General features: G+C 41.5%; 1 protein-coding gene across 30 annotated transcripts in view, besides 1 other annotated feature; it reads left to right on the top strand.

Moving 5' to 3' along the window:
* Positions 1 to 13,895, top strand: part of FAM107B (family with sequence similarity 107 member B) — a 256,341-nt gene extending 242,446 nt beyond the window's left edge. For all 30 annotated transcript variants that reach the window (NM_031453.4, NM_001282695.2, NM_001282697.2 and 27 more), the window contains 3 exons: positions 1,937 to 2,120; positions 10,433 to 10,583; positions 11,146 to 13,895. In NM_031453.4, the coding sequence (NP_113641.2) occupies positions 1,937 to 2,120; positions 10,433 to 10,583; positions 11,146 to 11,262 (452 nt within the window). In that variant the 3' untranslated portion in view covers positions 11,263 to 13,895. The remainder of the gene's footprint in view (positions 1 to 1,936; positions 2,121 to 10,432; positions 10,584 to 11,145) is intronic.
* Positions 12,299 to 12,814: an enhancer, noted in NCBI's record as "OCT4-NANOG hESC enhancer chr10:14561637-14562152 (GRCh37/hg19 assembly coordinates)". NCBI's record gives its function as "activates a minimal SCP1, AML or CMV promoter by ChIP-STARR-seq in primed H9 embryonic stem cells {active_cell/tissue: H9 hESC(primed)}" and the evidence as "EXISTENCE:reporter gene assay evidence [ECO:0000049][PMID:30033119]".
* Positions 13,896 to 14,098: the final 203 nt, after the last annotated feature.

Genomic DNA, 14,098 nt, shown 5'->3' with positions numbered 1-14,098 from the left:
AGTGATATTTAAGATATTTAAACAAATGTTGCAGCTACATTATTTTTCAGTTGACTTAGCCTTTGGATTTTCATTCTCTTTATTTTCACATTAACTTTGTAAAGATGTTGCTTTGGTTTGGTGGACAGAACATAACACGGGGAGGTGCTGGGGGCAGGGTCATACTTTTCAGCAGGGCAGCTAGGAGGTCAGGCCTCTCTGAGAAGGTGACATTTGAGGAAAGGCCTGGAAGGATACAAGCAGGATGAAGCCCACAAGGTGCTTAAGGAAGGAGACAGTGAGCAGTGTCACAGGCCAGCGAGCACCGTGCTGAGAACTAGAAGCCTTTTCCACTGGCACAGGGTCAGCATTGATATGTTTGTAGCATAGATTGATTTGCTGAGGCTGAAGGATTAGCAGTAAAGGACCTGGGTCCGGTGCCTATTGACCAACAAGTGAAACAACAAGCACTAAAACTTAGAGAAATCGCAGTTAGATTTATTTGGAGCCAAGTTTGAGGACTTACTTAAGCCTGAGAACACAGACTCAGTGTAGACTGAGAATGGGTTCCAAAGTAAGTTATGTGAGGCGCAATATATATACGTTTCATTCCCTTTCCTTTTCTATTTTGTTTTGTTTGAGACAGAGTCTCTCTCTGTTTCCCAGGCTGAGTGCAATGGTGCGATCTCGGCTCACTGCAACCTCTTGCCTCCTGGCTTCAAGCGATTCTCCTGCCTCAGCCTCCTAAGTAGCTGGGACTACGCCACCACGCCTGGCTATTTTTTGTATTTTTAGTAGAGACAGGGTTTCATCATATTGGCCAGGCTGGTCTCAAACCCCTGGCCTCAAGTGATCTAGCCACCTTAGCCTCCCAAAGTGCTGGGGTTACATATATGAGCCACTGTGCCCAGCCTCTTTTTTTTTTTTTTTTTTCTTTTCTTTTAGAGATATGAGGTCTTGCTCTTGCTCTGTCACCCAGGCTGGAGTGCGGTGGTGCAATCATAGCCCACTGCAGCCTCTCAACTCTTGGGCTCAAGTGATTCTCCCACCTCAGCCTCCTGAGTAGCTGAGACTATAGGCATGTACCACTATGCCCAGGGCATTTCCAATGTTTTTTAAACATATGGGGTCTTGCTATGTTGCCCAGGCTGGTCTTGAGCTCCTGGCCTCAGTGATCCTCCCACAACAGCCTCCCAAAGTGCTGGGATTACAGGCATGAGCCACCTTGCTCGGCCTTGTATTTTGTAACAGGGGAATACATGTGGCACAGCGGTGGGCGAAGCAGGCAGTGAAGCAGCGGTTTCAGTCCTGTGATTGTGATTGGTGGTCACAGAGGCTGTGCATAAGATAAATAAGGTAAATATGCAGCTGAGTGGGTAGGAGAAAGGTTAGGCATCTTAGAGTCTGGTGGAGGGTGACTGATTCCATCCCGTCTTTGTTCTGTATCTGGTAAACAGATTTATGACCAATAACCATCAGTGAAATATTTAACAAACTCCAGTAAGATAGGCAAGAGGCCAGCTTTAGTTTATAGGCCCCTCTTTCCTGACACATGTGTCCAACTGCAGCCATTGTGGGCCAGTGTTCCAATTTTCATTTGAACTTTCTTTTTTTCTGACATACTCAAGTGCTTGTTCTGAGGTCGATATGGAGACAGGGTGGCAGGAAGCATCCTTTGTGACCGGAACCCAAGTTGTGGCAGTGGCAGTGATAGAAGTCAGGCCACAGGGCTCCCTGGCCTTAGTCATGGGCAAGACGAGACCAGGCCACCATTCTCTTCCCTGCCCCAGCCCAGTTACATTCCAAGCGCTTTAGAATATTTATCAGCGATGCCCCAGAGTGGACTCAGGAGGATGGCATGTGTTAGCATACTGAGCACAGCTCTGTGGGCCTCTGCATGTGTGGGAAAAGCCTTAGCAAAAACTGCAAATGAGTGTTTCTCATCTTTCTCTTTCAGACAGCCCACCTGAGGATATTGACCATAAGGACTCATATCTCATTACAAGAAGCATCATGGCCGAGCCAGACTACATAGAAGATGACAATCCTGAACTCATTAGGCCTCAGAAACTGATCAATCCTGTAAAAACCTCCCGGAACCATCAAGATCTTCACAGAGAACTTCTTATGAATCAAAAAAGGTAAAATGGTTTCTTGAGCATATTTTTTTTTTAAGAGGACTTTTAAGATCATGATATCTAATTTTAATTGTATTTACAGAGGCTTCAAAGAGTCTTTGATTTCTTGCACTTTGTTAAGGCTTTCTTATTCCTTCTCACATCCTAGAACCGGGTTACCCCTCCGTGAGGCAGATCCCCTGCAGGTGGCCATCACTGTGGTGGCCAGCAGTGCTTCCAGACTCCTGCAGTCACGGGTTCCCTTCTGAAATGGATGTGTATTTCCAAATTCGGATGGAAGAGGCTGGATTAAAGATAGAAGAGAATGTCCTAAGTAGAAGAGAAATATGTTCTTAAATTTAAAATCTCTGAATTTTCTCCTTACACTGGGGAAGGTGTAGGAATCATGTAATTGCCGCCTACTCCGGCATTTGTCAGTAGTGGGGAGAAGTCTCTAGAACCATATTAGACTTAATAGATAGGACACTCATGTTTTTGTTTGTTTGGGGGTAGCATTTTAAAAGATTATTATCATAGTCTTTATTATTAATTATTTTGGAGGACAGGAAAGCATTTACCTTCTATCTACTTTGCAAACTCCATCTGTGCCATAAATCATTATGGATGTTGGGTTGCTATACTCTGCTTTTTAAATAATTTGGGCAGGACAGGAGACTAGGAGAACTGAGGATGAAAGGCTATTTTTTTCAATTTAAGAACTAGGAAGCTTCATTTAGGATTATTTTCAGATCTCGTAGGACTATAGATGACTCATTTGCCCACTCTTTGCTAAGCCCTGGTGAAAGGTCTCCCACTGAACTGAAAGATACGCAGATCAAGTTTAGCATTAGGGTAATTTTTTGCAGGGAGGCCTAGTTAAACAAATGTTTTAAAGAGGATCAAGGGGCATTTTTATGGCAATTCTCTTTCCTGAGTACACTCCAGCTAGAAAAAATGACTCCTATCTATCCCAGGAATTATTTGTAAATACGTTTCTCCCTCTAGAGTGTGAGAATGTGGCTTACTCCTGTTTTATCCCCAGCATATTAGTAGGAAGCTGTTGGATTAATGTATATTAAATTGAATGCAAATAAGATTTTAGCTTCCATCTGCCTTTGTCACACAATAGAAGAAAGAATATATGAATTTGGTATTATTATGGCCAAAGCAAAATGAGACTATCAAGTTCCTAAAATAGACCACAGAATTTAGAAGCCATCCTATCCTGCCTGGGAAATCATGTCTTCATTTTGGTGGAAAGCTCGTCAGTTTAGTAGGCTCCGAAATAGAATAGCAGTTGTCACTCAAAGATTTTCAGATTATCTTCACCTCTTTGGCCTCAGTTCCCTTATCTATAAAGTGTAAGGTAGGAGACTTAGCTGTTCTCTAAGAAACATTTTAGCTCAAATTTTTTCTTCTAGGAAAATCTATGAAAGGGCTCCAAGTCAGAATAAAGGTCAGAGTAAAACCAACATTTGCAGAATAAGTGTTCTCTAAATTATAGGCTATGAATTATTCTGCAAAAATATATTTAGTAGTTTGGGTCATTGCTGTAAAACCTACAGATTTGTGCAGTTGAGTCTGTTTCCACATTTTTTAGAGAAAGGGCTTCCATTCTGTCTGTCTTTGTCTGGCCTGTTCTTCTCCTTGTTTGCCCAGCTCAACTAACCTGAGACAATGCTGGGTTTCCCTAAAGTACTATGGTGTAGAGAGGATGTGGGCTTTGAGGTCAGAGAGAAATGATATGAATCTTGGTTTTACCAGAACTTAACTTTACCTACCTTATGATCTTGGCCAAGGTATCCCCTCTTGAGATCTGTTTCTTCATCTATAAAGTGGGAGATAATAGTATTTTTCTTATAAAAATTAAAGTAGGCTGGGCACCGTGGATCACGCCTGTAATCCCACCACTTTGAGAAGCCAAGGCAGGTGGATCCACTGAGGTCAGGAGTTTGAGACCAGCCTGGCCAACCTGGCGAAACCCTGTCTCTACTAAAAATACAAAAATTAGCCGGGCTTGGTGGCACATGCCTGTAATCCCAACCACTCGGGAGGCTGAGGCAGGAGAATTGCTTGAACATGGGAGGTGGAGGTTGCAGTGAGCCGAGATTGTGCCAGTGCATTCCAGCCTGGGTGACAGAGCAAAACTCTGTCTCTAAAAAAAAAAAAAAAAAAAAAAAACCAAAACTTAAAGTAAATAATAGCGTGTATGAAAATGCTTAACATAATAAGTGATCACTTAGTCACATCTATCTTCCACTTCCTATGTGACAACAACTGGAATTTCCTATTGCTTTTTCTCCCTTTTCTTTGAAGGATTTTGGTCTGGTTGGAAATACATTAAAAAAAAAAAAAAGAAAAGGCAGATTTCAAAATGAAATGAAAATATATCTCATCTTATCTCTTAAGAGTTTTCAAGGTAATACCAAACTTGTTAGAAATACAGTGATTTTAAAGTGAGAATTTCTCAGTTTCTTTCCTTTTATTCATCTTTTATTTTGTATACTTTTTAGAGACTGGGGTTTTTATTTCTAAATTTTAGTGCCAAACTATAGGATACATCACATCAATACTGTGTGTGTTTGGTTAATGAATAACCAGTCTTGATTACTGCATGGTATTGTAATAAAAATCCATTTGCTTTTCTGTAGTTTATAACAAGTCTTCCTACATTTTGTCTCATCTGGTGCTCTTTCTAATAGCCCAGTGTGTGTTATCTTCAGGTTACCCTCACTCAGGTGAGTAATCTCAAGGTGACTGGTTTAAGGAATCATCTCAAGATTACATAATAGTTTTTTGAAATAGTGTTTAGAAATAAAAGCAAGTTTATGTGGAGACTTATACCTTTGCTACGCATAGCTACAAATTTAGCTCAAAGCTCTATGGCAGTTCAGTTTTTCCAGTTACATTTCAGAGATTATGTGTTACAGGCTGAGAACAAGAACTTAAGAGAACAAGTACCCACAGGTCTTCTAACTGCGAAACCTATGCTCTTTCTAGTGTGTAATCCTATTCCTCTATTTACTGTCTTTGGAACCCAGCTTAGTTTCAGGTTAAAAGTCTTTGAAGCCTCTAGGTCTGACGGTTAAAACCTTGTGTCAGGTTCTCACTTTCCACAGGTGTTTTCAGTAGTATAAAAAGGCAGATTTCAAAAGGCTTTTTTTTTTTTTTGGTTAAAAGATTACTATTGAAGGGATCTTTAAAAAAACAATTAAGAAGGGCTGGGTGTGGTGGCTCACGCCTGTAATCCCAGCACTTTGGGAGGCCGAGGCGGGTGGATCACGAGGTGAGGAGATCAAGACCATCCTAGCTAACACGGTGAAACCCCATCTCTACTAAAAATATAAAAAATTAGCTGGGCGTGTTGGTGGGCACCTGTAGTCCCAGCTACTCAGGAGGCTGAGGCAGGAGAATAGCGTGAACCCGGGAGGCGGAGCTTGCAGTGAGCTGAGATGGCGCCACTACACTCCAGCCTGGGTGACAAAGCGAGACTCCGTCTCAAAAAAAAAAAAAAATTAATATTTCTGATATTATTTAGAGAGATAGATTCTGTGCTCTACAAAGATTACTTTTTAGAATAAATAGGTCAGTTACTTAAACATATCCCTAAAATTGGTTCTTTGGCTTGTATATTTTGAAGTCAGTGGCTTCTTGTTCCTGGTTTTTAGCTGACATTCTTTTGGCATGCTTTACTAGTTGAATAGTTCCTCAATAAATACTTGCTGCTGTACAACATGGAAAAAGATAGGGGCAGTTCTAGAGATAAAGGATACAAGTATTTGTGTTCCAATCCATGCAGGTAAAAATGACTAAACCAGAAATGTAAATGAGGCAGGCCAAACCAAAGATTACAAGATTAAAGAACAAGGGCTGAAATTCAGGCCCAGCGCGGCGGCTCACGCCTGTAATTCCAGCACTCTGGGAGGCCGAGGCAGGCAGATCACCTGAGGTCAGGAGTTTGAGAGCAGCCTGGCCAACATGGCGCAACCCCATCTCTACTAAAAATACAAAAAAATTAGCTGGGCGTGGTGGCACGCGCCTGTAGTCCCAGCTACTTGGGAGGCTGAGGCAGGAGAATAGCTTGAACCCAGGAAGCGGAGGTTGCAGTGAGCCGAGGTCATGCCACTGCACTCCAGCATGGGCAATAGAGCGAGACTCTGTCCCCCCGGAAAAAAAGAACAAGGGCTAAATTCAAATCAAATTTTCCCTGTACCCTAAGAAAAATAATTAGGCCGGGAGATGTTTGACTAAGTGAGTAGGCATTGTTCTGTGACGGTCTGAGCCCCAGACCTTTCCTCTGGATGAATGCTGTCCCAGGTAATGAAATGACTTCACTTATTAATATATAGGTACACAGAGTTCAGGTAGATGTGGAATGAATGGGGACTCGCCCCGTCTGCCCTTGAATGTATTTAGTGGTTTATGTGAAATGTACCTTTCAAAGTTGTCTGTATGTTTCATACTCTGGGGGTGGGAATATAAATCATTGCAGCCTTTTTGTAGGGCACTTTGGCAGTACTCATCAAAATATGCGATGTGCAGATGCTTAGCCAGCAACTCCGCTTCTATGAATCTAGCCAACAGAAATACTTGTAGAAGTGTGCAGCTATAAATGTCCACAGAGGCTCAGAGCCTCATTGTTTTTAATAGTGAACAGTTGGAAACCAAATAGATGTCTGTCAGTAGGGATGTGGCAGAATTGTGGCATGTTTATATGGGTATAGAAAGTATGGAGGAACATAGACCCAACTGTTGGTAAGAGTTATCTCTGGATGCAGGAATAGGTAGGGGTTGATGGGTACAGGGTCTCTACTTTGCATAATTTTGGGGCCACTGTTCACATAGAACATTTGCGATGGAGTGGTGCTCCTCGATTCGTTTAATGGAGAGGGTTTGGATGTGCTTTTGCTTTTTATTTAACACATGGGTATATTACTTTTCTTTTTCTGCAAAGAGCACTTATTAATTTTATAGTTTTTTAAATTGGCTTTGCCCGCTTCAGTAGTCACAGGTAGCTACCTGACCGAGAAGCCGACTTGGGAATTACTGTTACTCGTGGGTGATACTGTCATAAAGGGGTTGAAAGTACTTGTTAGCTGTATATGTCAGAATTGATTAAAGAGAACCAACTATTCTTGTGCAAGGGATGGTATTGTAGTTAATTATGACATTTGGAGAAACTAATTTCTGTCTGTCGACACTATCTCTGTTCCATTTAGACTTAGAGACTTACATGGGCAATGCTTGACTTTTTGCATTCAGCACAGAAAGTTAAGTAATCCACTGTGGTAAAATATTAACTAAATTTATATGACTTCTTGACTGCTGTAAGTAGAGAATATTTATCATATAAGCACCATTTTCCTGAATTTTTTGTTACTACATATTTTATCTTACTGTCACTATTGTGTAAAATCTTTGAAAGGAAAATGAATACTGTGTAATAGTTAAACCCATTCATAGGTTGCAATAGAGTGTCAGCCAAATGTGTCATACATCAAATCTTCAGCAGCTTTTGCATAATCCAGGAGAATTGAATAATAGTTGAAGTTAATTTTGCCAGTGAAATGTAGGGAAAGAAAAATGTTTGAAATTTAAATTATTCAGATAGCTAAATTCTTAATCCTAAAATTTAAACCCCTTAATTCTGTCTGTAGTGTTATATCAAGACTTTTTGATAGTCATGAAACTGAGTAAAACTTTATTCAGATTACTTAAAAACAGCTTTTCCTGTGGTTAATAACACCTTTATTTTGAACAGAGTACTCTTAAGCAACTTATATTGTGCTGATTAAAGATTTAATCTGTGCATATTTTTTATCCTGTTGTTTATTTAGTTTTGATAACTGTGAAATAAACCATAATTAAATCACAAAAGTCACCTGCCTCTTTTGTTTCCCTGGAAATTTGGCCAAATTTTTTTTAACGGAAAGTTCTGCTAATGAAAATTGGGAAATTGGAGACATATATTATTTTGACTGTGTGTCCTCTGTCATTAAAGATGGACTATACTAGCTGGGTGTGGTTGCTGATGCCTATAATCCCACCACTTTGGGAGGCCAAGGCAGGTAGACGGCTTGAGCTCAGGAGTTCGAGACCAGCCTGGCCAACATGGTGAAACCCCGTCTCTACTAAAAATACAAAAAATTATCCGGTCGTGGTTGCGGGCACCTGTAATCCCAGCTCCTCGGGAGGCTGAGGGAGGAGAATCGCTTGAACCTGGGAGGAGGAAGTTGCAGTGAGCCGAGATTGTGCCATTGCACTCCATCCTGGGCAACAAGAGGAAAACTGTATCTCAAAAACGAAAAAAAAAAAAAAAAATAGAGCTGGGCGTGGTGGCATGTGCCTGTGGTCCCAGCTACTCAGGAGGCTGAGGTGGGAGGATCGCTGGGGCCCAGGAGGCAGAGGTTTCAGTGAGCTGAGATCATGCCGCTGCACTCCAGCCCGGGCAACAGAGAGAGCCTGTCTCAGAAAAAAAAAAAAAAAAAGATGGAATATACCGATTTTTACTCTAAACAACAACTTTGAATTAAGTTTTTGTGATTTTTAAAAACATCTAGATAGGAGAGATGCCAGAATTTTTAGAAATTCTAGATGAATGAGGAAGTATGCAATTGAGGATTGGTTTACAGATGTGATTGTGTGGACTTTAAAGGGATCAAGGTGAGTGTGCTGTTGAATTTCTCTGGCCGGAGCACATATATTGGAAATTGTTATTTAACAGTTGCTCAGATGACTCCTAGTTGGTTAGTCACGGTAGTTGATAGGAGTCGTTTAGAGAACAACCCTGTCCCTTGTCTACAGATTAGCAGTCATCAGCAGCCGGACCAGGAGGTGTGTGGGAGGTGCTCAGGCCCATCCTGGAGTCCGGGACAGAGTCAGCAGTGCTTGTTGCCTGCAGTTCAGAAAAGCCTGAATTACTGTTCCACCACATGCCTGCGTGCGTAGCATGAGTGTGTGTGCGCTGTTACCTACACCCTGTGCTGCCTGAAATTGAAAGCGCTTTTCCTGTTCGGTGGTTTGTCCTATTTTTATTTTAAATTGTCCTGGTAAATTTTAACATCAAGTTGAGATTACTTATGAGTTGGCAGAGACTGGCTAAGATAAGTGACTAAGGAAGACAATAAGAAGAAAGGTGAGCTGGATAATCCAGCATTCTGGAAAGCCATAGGAGAAATCCTAAGGAAATAGAAAAGGCAAATCTTAAGCTAACAGTTAAACAGACAGATATAGCACTAGAGAAAATGCTAAGACATGTCTTTCCCTTGACTTCTCTCGAATATTTCAGATGGAGGGTGGCTAGTTCATGGCCTGTTTGGCTTGTTTCTCCCCATTTGGAGAGATGGTAGCCTAATTTATCTCTCAGAAATGTAGGACTTCCCTGAAGGCCGACTTGCTTTCATTGTAAATAATCAACTACACATCTGAAAGGGTTTCGGTGGAGGAGCACGGGACTGAGAATTAGGGGATTAAGGTTCTGCACGGCCATGTCCTTCAGTAACGGTATAACCTCAGATGTGCCTTTAGATGTACAGGAACCCCCTTTCAGTCTGAAAAATGAAGGGTGGGAAGGTTTCCAGGGCCATTTTACTGTCTAAGCTGGTCTTGAGGCTGCATTTAGTGCATAAGATCAGGGGCTAGAGGCCAGGTGTGGTGGCTCACGCCTGTAATCCCAGCACTTTGGGAGGCCGAGGCGAGTGGATCCCGAGGTCAGGAGTTTCAGACCAACCTGACCAACATGGTGAAACCCCATCTCTACTAAAAATACAAAAATTAGCCGGGCGTGGTGGTGCACGCCTGTAATCCCAGCTACTCCAGAGGCTGAGGCAGGAGAATTGCTTGAACCTGGGAGGCGGAGGTTGCATTGAGCCTAGATTGCCTGCCACTGCACTCCAGCCTGGGTGACAGAGTGAGACTCTGTCTCAGAAAAAAAAAAAAAAATCAGGGGCTAGATTTTGGGAAGCCTCCCCTCCATGCAGAGCCCCCTCATTTCCTGACCATCTCCGTCTCTGTCATGGGCACCCATCACAGTCATCGTACGCACATCCCCACCCTCACTGCCCTCCTTTGCGTAGCCTAGTGTCTTGCACATGGCACGTGGCCAATACATTGTCATTGAATGAATGGATTTTATGTACTCTTTGGAGATCTCCTCTTGCCTTTCTTTCGTGCTGGTGAATTTCTTAGATCACCATGTTGCCTGCTGTAGCCTAGTAGGTATCATACTAATTTTGTAGACCACTTTTCCGTGGTTGATATTGTAAGTTAAATTTCTGTTCATAAAAAATGTAGCCATTAGATTAACGTTTTCTATTTTTGTTAATGCTCTTTCGCAGGGGTCTTGCTCCTCAGAACAAACCAGAATTGCAGAAGGTGATGGAAAAAAGAAAACGAGACCAAGTAATAAAGCAGAAGGAAGAAGAAGCACAGAAGAAGAAATCTGACTTGGAAATAGAGCTATTAAAACGGCAGCAGAAGTTGGAGCAGGTAAGGGGGATTGGCTGGAAGCTGTCTTTTTTTGTTTTTGTCTTGAAGAATGTTGGAGTGTTGGAGCGGGCAGGATTTACCAGACGTGCCAGTGTATACATTTATACCATGAAAGAAATATTGGAGACAAATGTCAGCAAATGGGGTCAAATATGTTCAAGGCAGGGACAAGAATCCTACTGAGGACCTAAAAGAGATCCCAGAGGCAAAAGCAAAACAGGGACATGGCACTGAATTCACACAGGGTGCTGGAGTAATTTAATGAAATTCACTTTCATGAAGACTCCAGAGCAACTGCGCGTTGACTCCAGGATTTGTTTCCTTAGCCCTGTCTTTTCAATTCTTGTCATCTCGTGGTCCTATTTGCAGTGACAGCCAAGTGGCTTCTGTTTCTGTGCACAATTACCCAGACTCTATCCATCCATTTCTTTAAAAGTGGGGGACCAGGAGAGAATTTATTCTGTGGGGAAGTAAAGTTGTCAGGGACTTTGAAAAGAGAGAAGAGTATTTTGAAAGGCTGCTTGGTTTGTAAATAATTTTTCCTTTTCTGAATGTCATTTAGCTTGAACTTGAGAAGCAGAAATTGCAAGAAGAGCAAGAAAATGCCCCCGAGTTTGTGAAGGTGAAAGGCAATCTCAGGAGAACAGGCCAAGAAGTCGCCCAAGCCCAGGAGTCCTAGGCTGAGGCTGCACCAAGACCTCGTGTGTCACCCCACAGAGCTGTCTGTGGGTGCCTTCTCAATCTCAGGGCAAAAGCCCCTGGAGAATATTTCAGCCAGCAGAGAATTTTGACTTGCAGTAGGATTTGGTTTGATTTTCCTACGATCTGGGTGGATGCCTTGCCTGTGACAGTTGCAGTTCCTATTCGCCAAATGAAGGGCAGTGCCCCGCACGTAAGTTGGAATGATGGACCTGTGTTCAGAGACTTAACAGAACCAACAAGCAAAACAAGTGAGAACAGGAAAAAGGAAGAGGACACTGGAATCAATTCTTGAGAGTTGCACTACTTGGTTTTTCTTCCATTCCAAGTTTCGTGGGACCCAGAGCCTTTTTTCTTTTAAAAGCTAAAAAACAAGTGTTTAATTCCTCTTTTTGTTATCTGTTAGATAATTGAGATCACCTAGAAATGCGTTTAATCTGTTCACTCACTGTAAATTTTGAGGACCCAGAATTGTCTTGTTTAATTTATACTTTCACCCCTGTTGCAGTTAACACCAGAGAAGGAACGTGAATGTCGAGCACAGCCACTACCCTTGTTGGCACTTAATTTAGAAATAGGGTGAGAAGTTTAAAAGCCCATCTTGATTTTATTTTCATTCCTTTTGGTTCTCTGTGTAATAATAGCAGGCTACATAGTGACATTCCAGTTCCAAGAAGGTACATCCTGTCCATTCATTAATTGCTTTGATTACTAGGAGGGTTTCTGTTCAGTTTTGTTTTTAAATGTCTTGCTGATCTAGTTCTTTCAGATGGAATAACCTTCCAGTCCCTTAGAGAGTGGAACTAGTCCATATAACCCAGCTTCAGTAGCAAAAGTAGAAGCCGCCACATCTTTTCATTTCTCCAAGAGGAGAGTGGGGAAGGTTCCCATGACCAGCTGGGCAGTCAGGATTTCTCTAGGCATTCTAATGTGAAATAAGTGTAGACTGCTGTCAAGGAGGCTTCATCAGAAGATGTATAGCATTTGAATGTCTAATGATAATGCATATCATTAGAATCCAAGCTTTGAAAATTTCTGATTAATGCTCATGTATTTCTTTATCTTTGTTTTTCCTTGTGAAGAAAGACTTTCACCACTGTCTGAGTGATGATGCTGTTGATAAGGATGATGTCGATGACTACTATATTGCATCTCTCAGGAACAGCTGATGGGAAGGGAGGGGCTGCTGAGTTCCCTTGTTCTAGCTAGCAGCACGCTCCTCAGAGAGGGGGCCGAGTTACAGACAGCAGCCGCATTCTCATGCAAAATTAGTTTTAAACTGCTAGTGTGGGCATCGGTACCTTTTGCCTGGGTGATACCGAAGAATTGTTGAGGATTTAGTATGCTCCGTAGAGACAGTTCAGCCAGTCATTTCTGCATTGGAGAGACTTCTCATACTTTCTTTGAAGACTCATAGAAAGCTGGATCTAGAGCTTTTGAATCCTTAATTAGCACAGTAGAAATTAGCTTTCTATGGGAATGCTTTAGTGTTAGCAGTTGACAATTAGGCCCATATTCAATCTGAATGGGAACAAAAGTAAATGCAATGATAATATACTGCTAGTTAGAGAAACATGTTAGTTGATTATACCTGAAATGGATTATTTATCTCATCAGCAAGTATTATTTGAATAAAATGAGAAATGCTTAAGAAAAATTGTTGCTCTACAGTAATTTGGTTTCGAAGAATGGAATGGTAACTATTTTTTCCCATCGTTCTTTTGAGAGAAGGAAGTGTGATGACTGATGATCTTGAAAAGCCCATTTCTGATTGCACGTTGACTGGAATTCTTTCTTTGTGTCTGTGGACTAGCGATGCTGTTTGTAAAATGAAGATTCGGGACTGGCTCATATCTTTTTATCTAACTAGATGTCAGATCTTGAAATCTGTATTCTCGAAGCAATTCTGCCACTTGATCGTATTCACAGGGGCCCTGGTAGGCTCCTTTAGAAGGACCATTTCTGTTCCTAGAGCTTAACTAGAATTCATTCTTCACTGAAAAAAAAAAAAGTTACTTAAGAAAGCATTTCTTTCCTAATCTCACTCAAATCTGCAGAATTATTTGTAATTAGTAATACAAAATCTGGCCAAAAGGAGACTTGTAAATAGCGTAAAGTGGTGTCTTATGCTAAACGGTGGAATGTATAGGCAGAGAAGCTCTTTGAAGTTGTCAGATGAGCTGGGCTCACAAGCCTGATTCAAACAGGCTGTCGGTCTCCTCTCACCCCTTAATACTGTGCAGCCCAAACTCCTAGGACTCTTGAACATCTGAGCAGTTTTGTGCTTTGAGCCACTTTTTGACAAAAATGGCTCCATTTTTCCACAGCGTGGTTTTCTTAAAATAGTTTAATGTTTTATAGTCTCATAGTAGTAGTGTTGCTTTCTAAGCTATAACAGTCGACTTTATTCTTCTACTCTGAAAAATCTTGACTTGTTTGAGTGTATATAATATATATAAAGGGAGCCTTAATGGATTGGTTTTCATAATTTAATATTTTTTGTATTTGCTCTTGTATAATTGTTTTTAACGGAAAGTATTAAAGAATTGAGGGTGGAATTCTTAGAACCAAAGTTATTCTTAATAAAAATCACCACATGCTTGGACCATGCAACCATGTTTGTCTGATCTGTTGAAGGTGTGCATCTGGAACAGAACGGGGCTGGGTTCATTTCAAAGGTGAGAGTTGGTTCCAGGGTCTCCCTTTTGATGACTGGTCCTCATTGACAACCTTGCCCCCAAATCACTTATGTCCTATTGCCTTGTGGCAGTCAAGCTGACAGTTTGTCATATCAAACAGAGTCATCTCAGGTATTT

Source organism: Homo sapiens, chromosome 10 (genome assembly GCF_000001405.40).
Source record: "Homo sapiens chromosome 10, GRCh38.p14 Primary Assembly".
NCBI lineage: Eukaryota > Metazoa > Chordata > Mammalia > Primates > Hominidae > Homo > Homo sapiens.
This window is presented reverse-complemented; position numbering and strand designations above follow the sequence as displayed.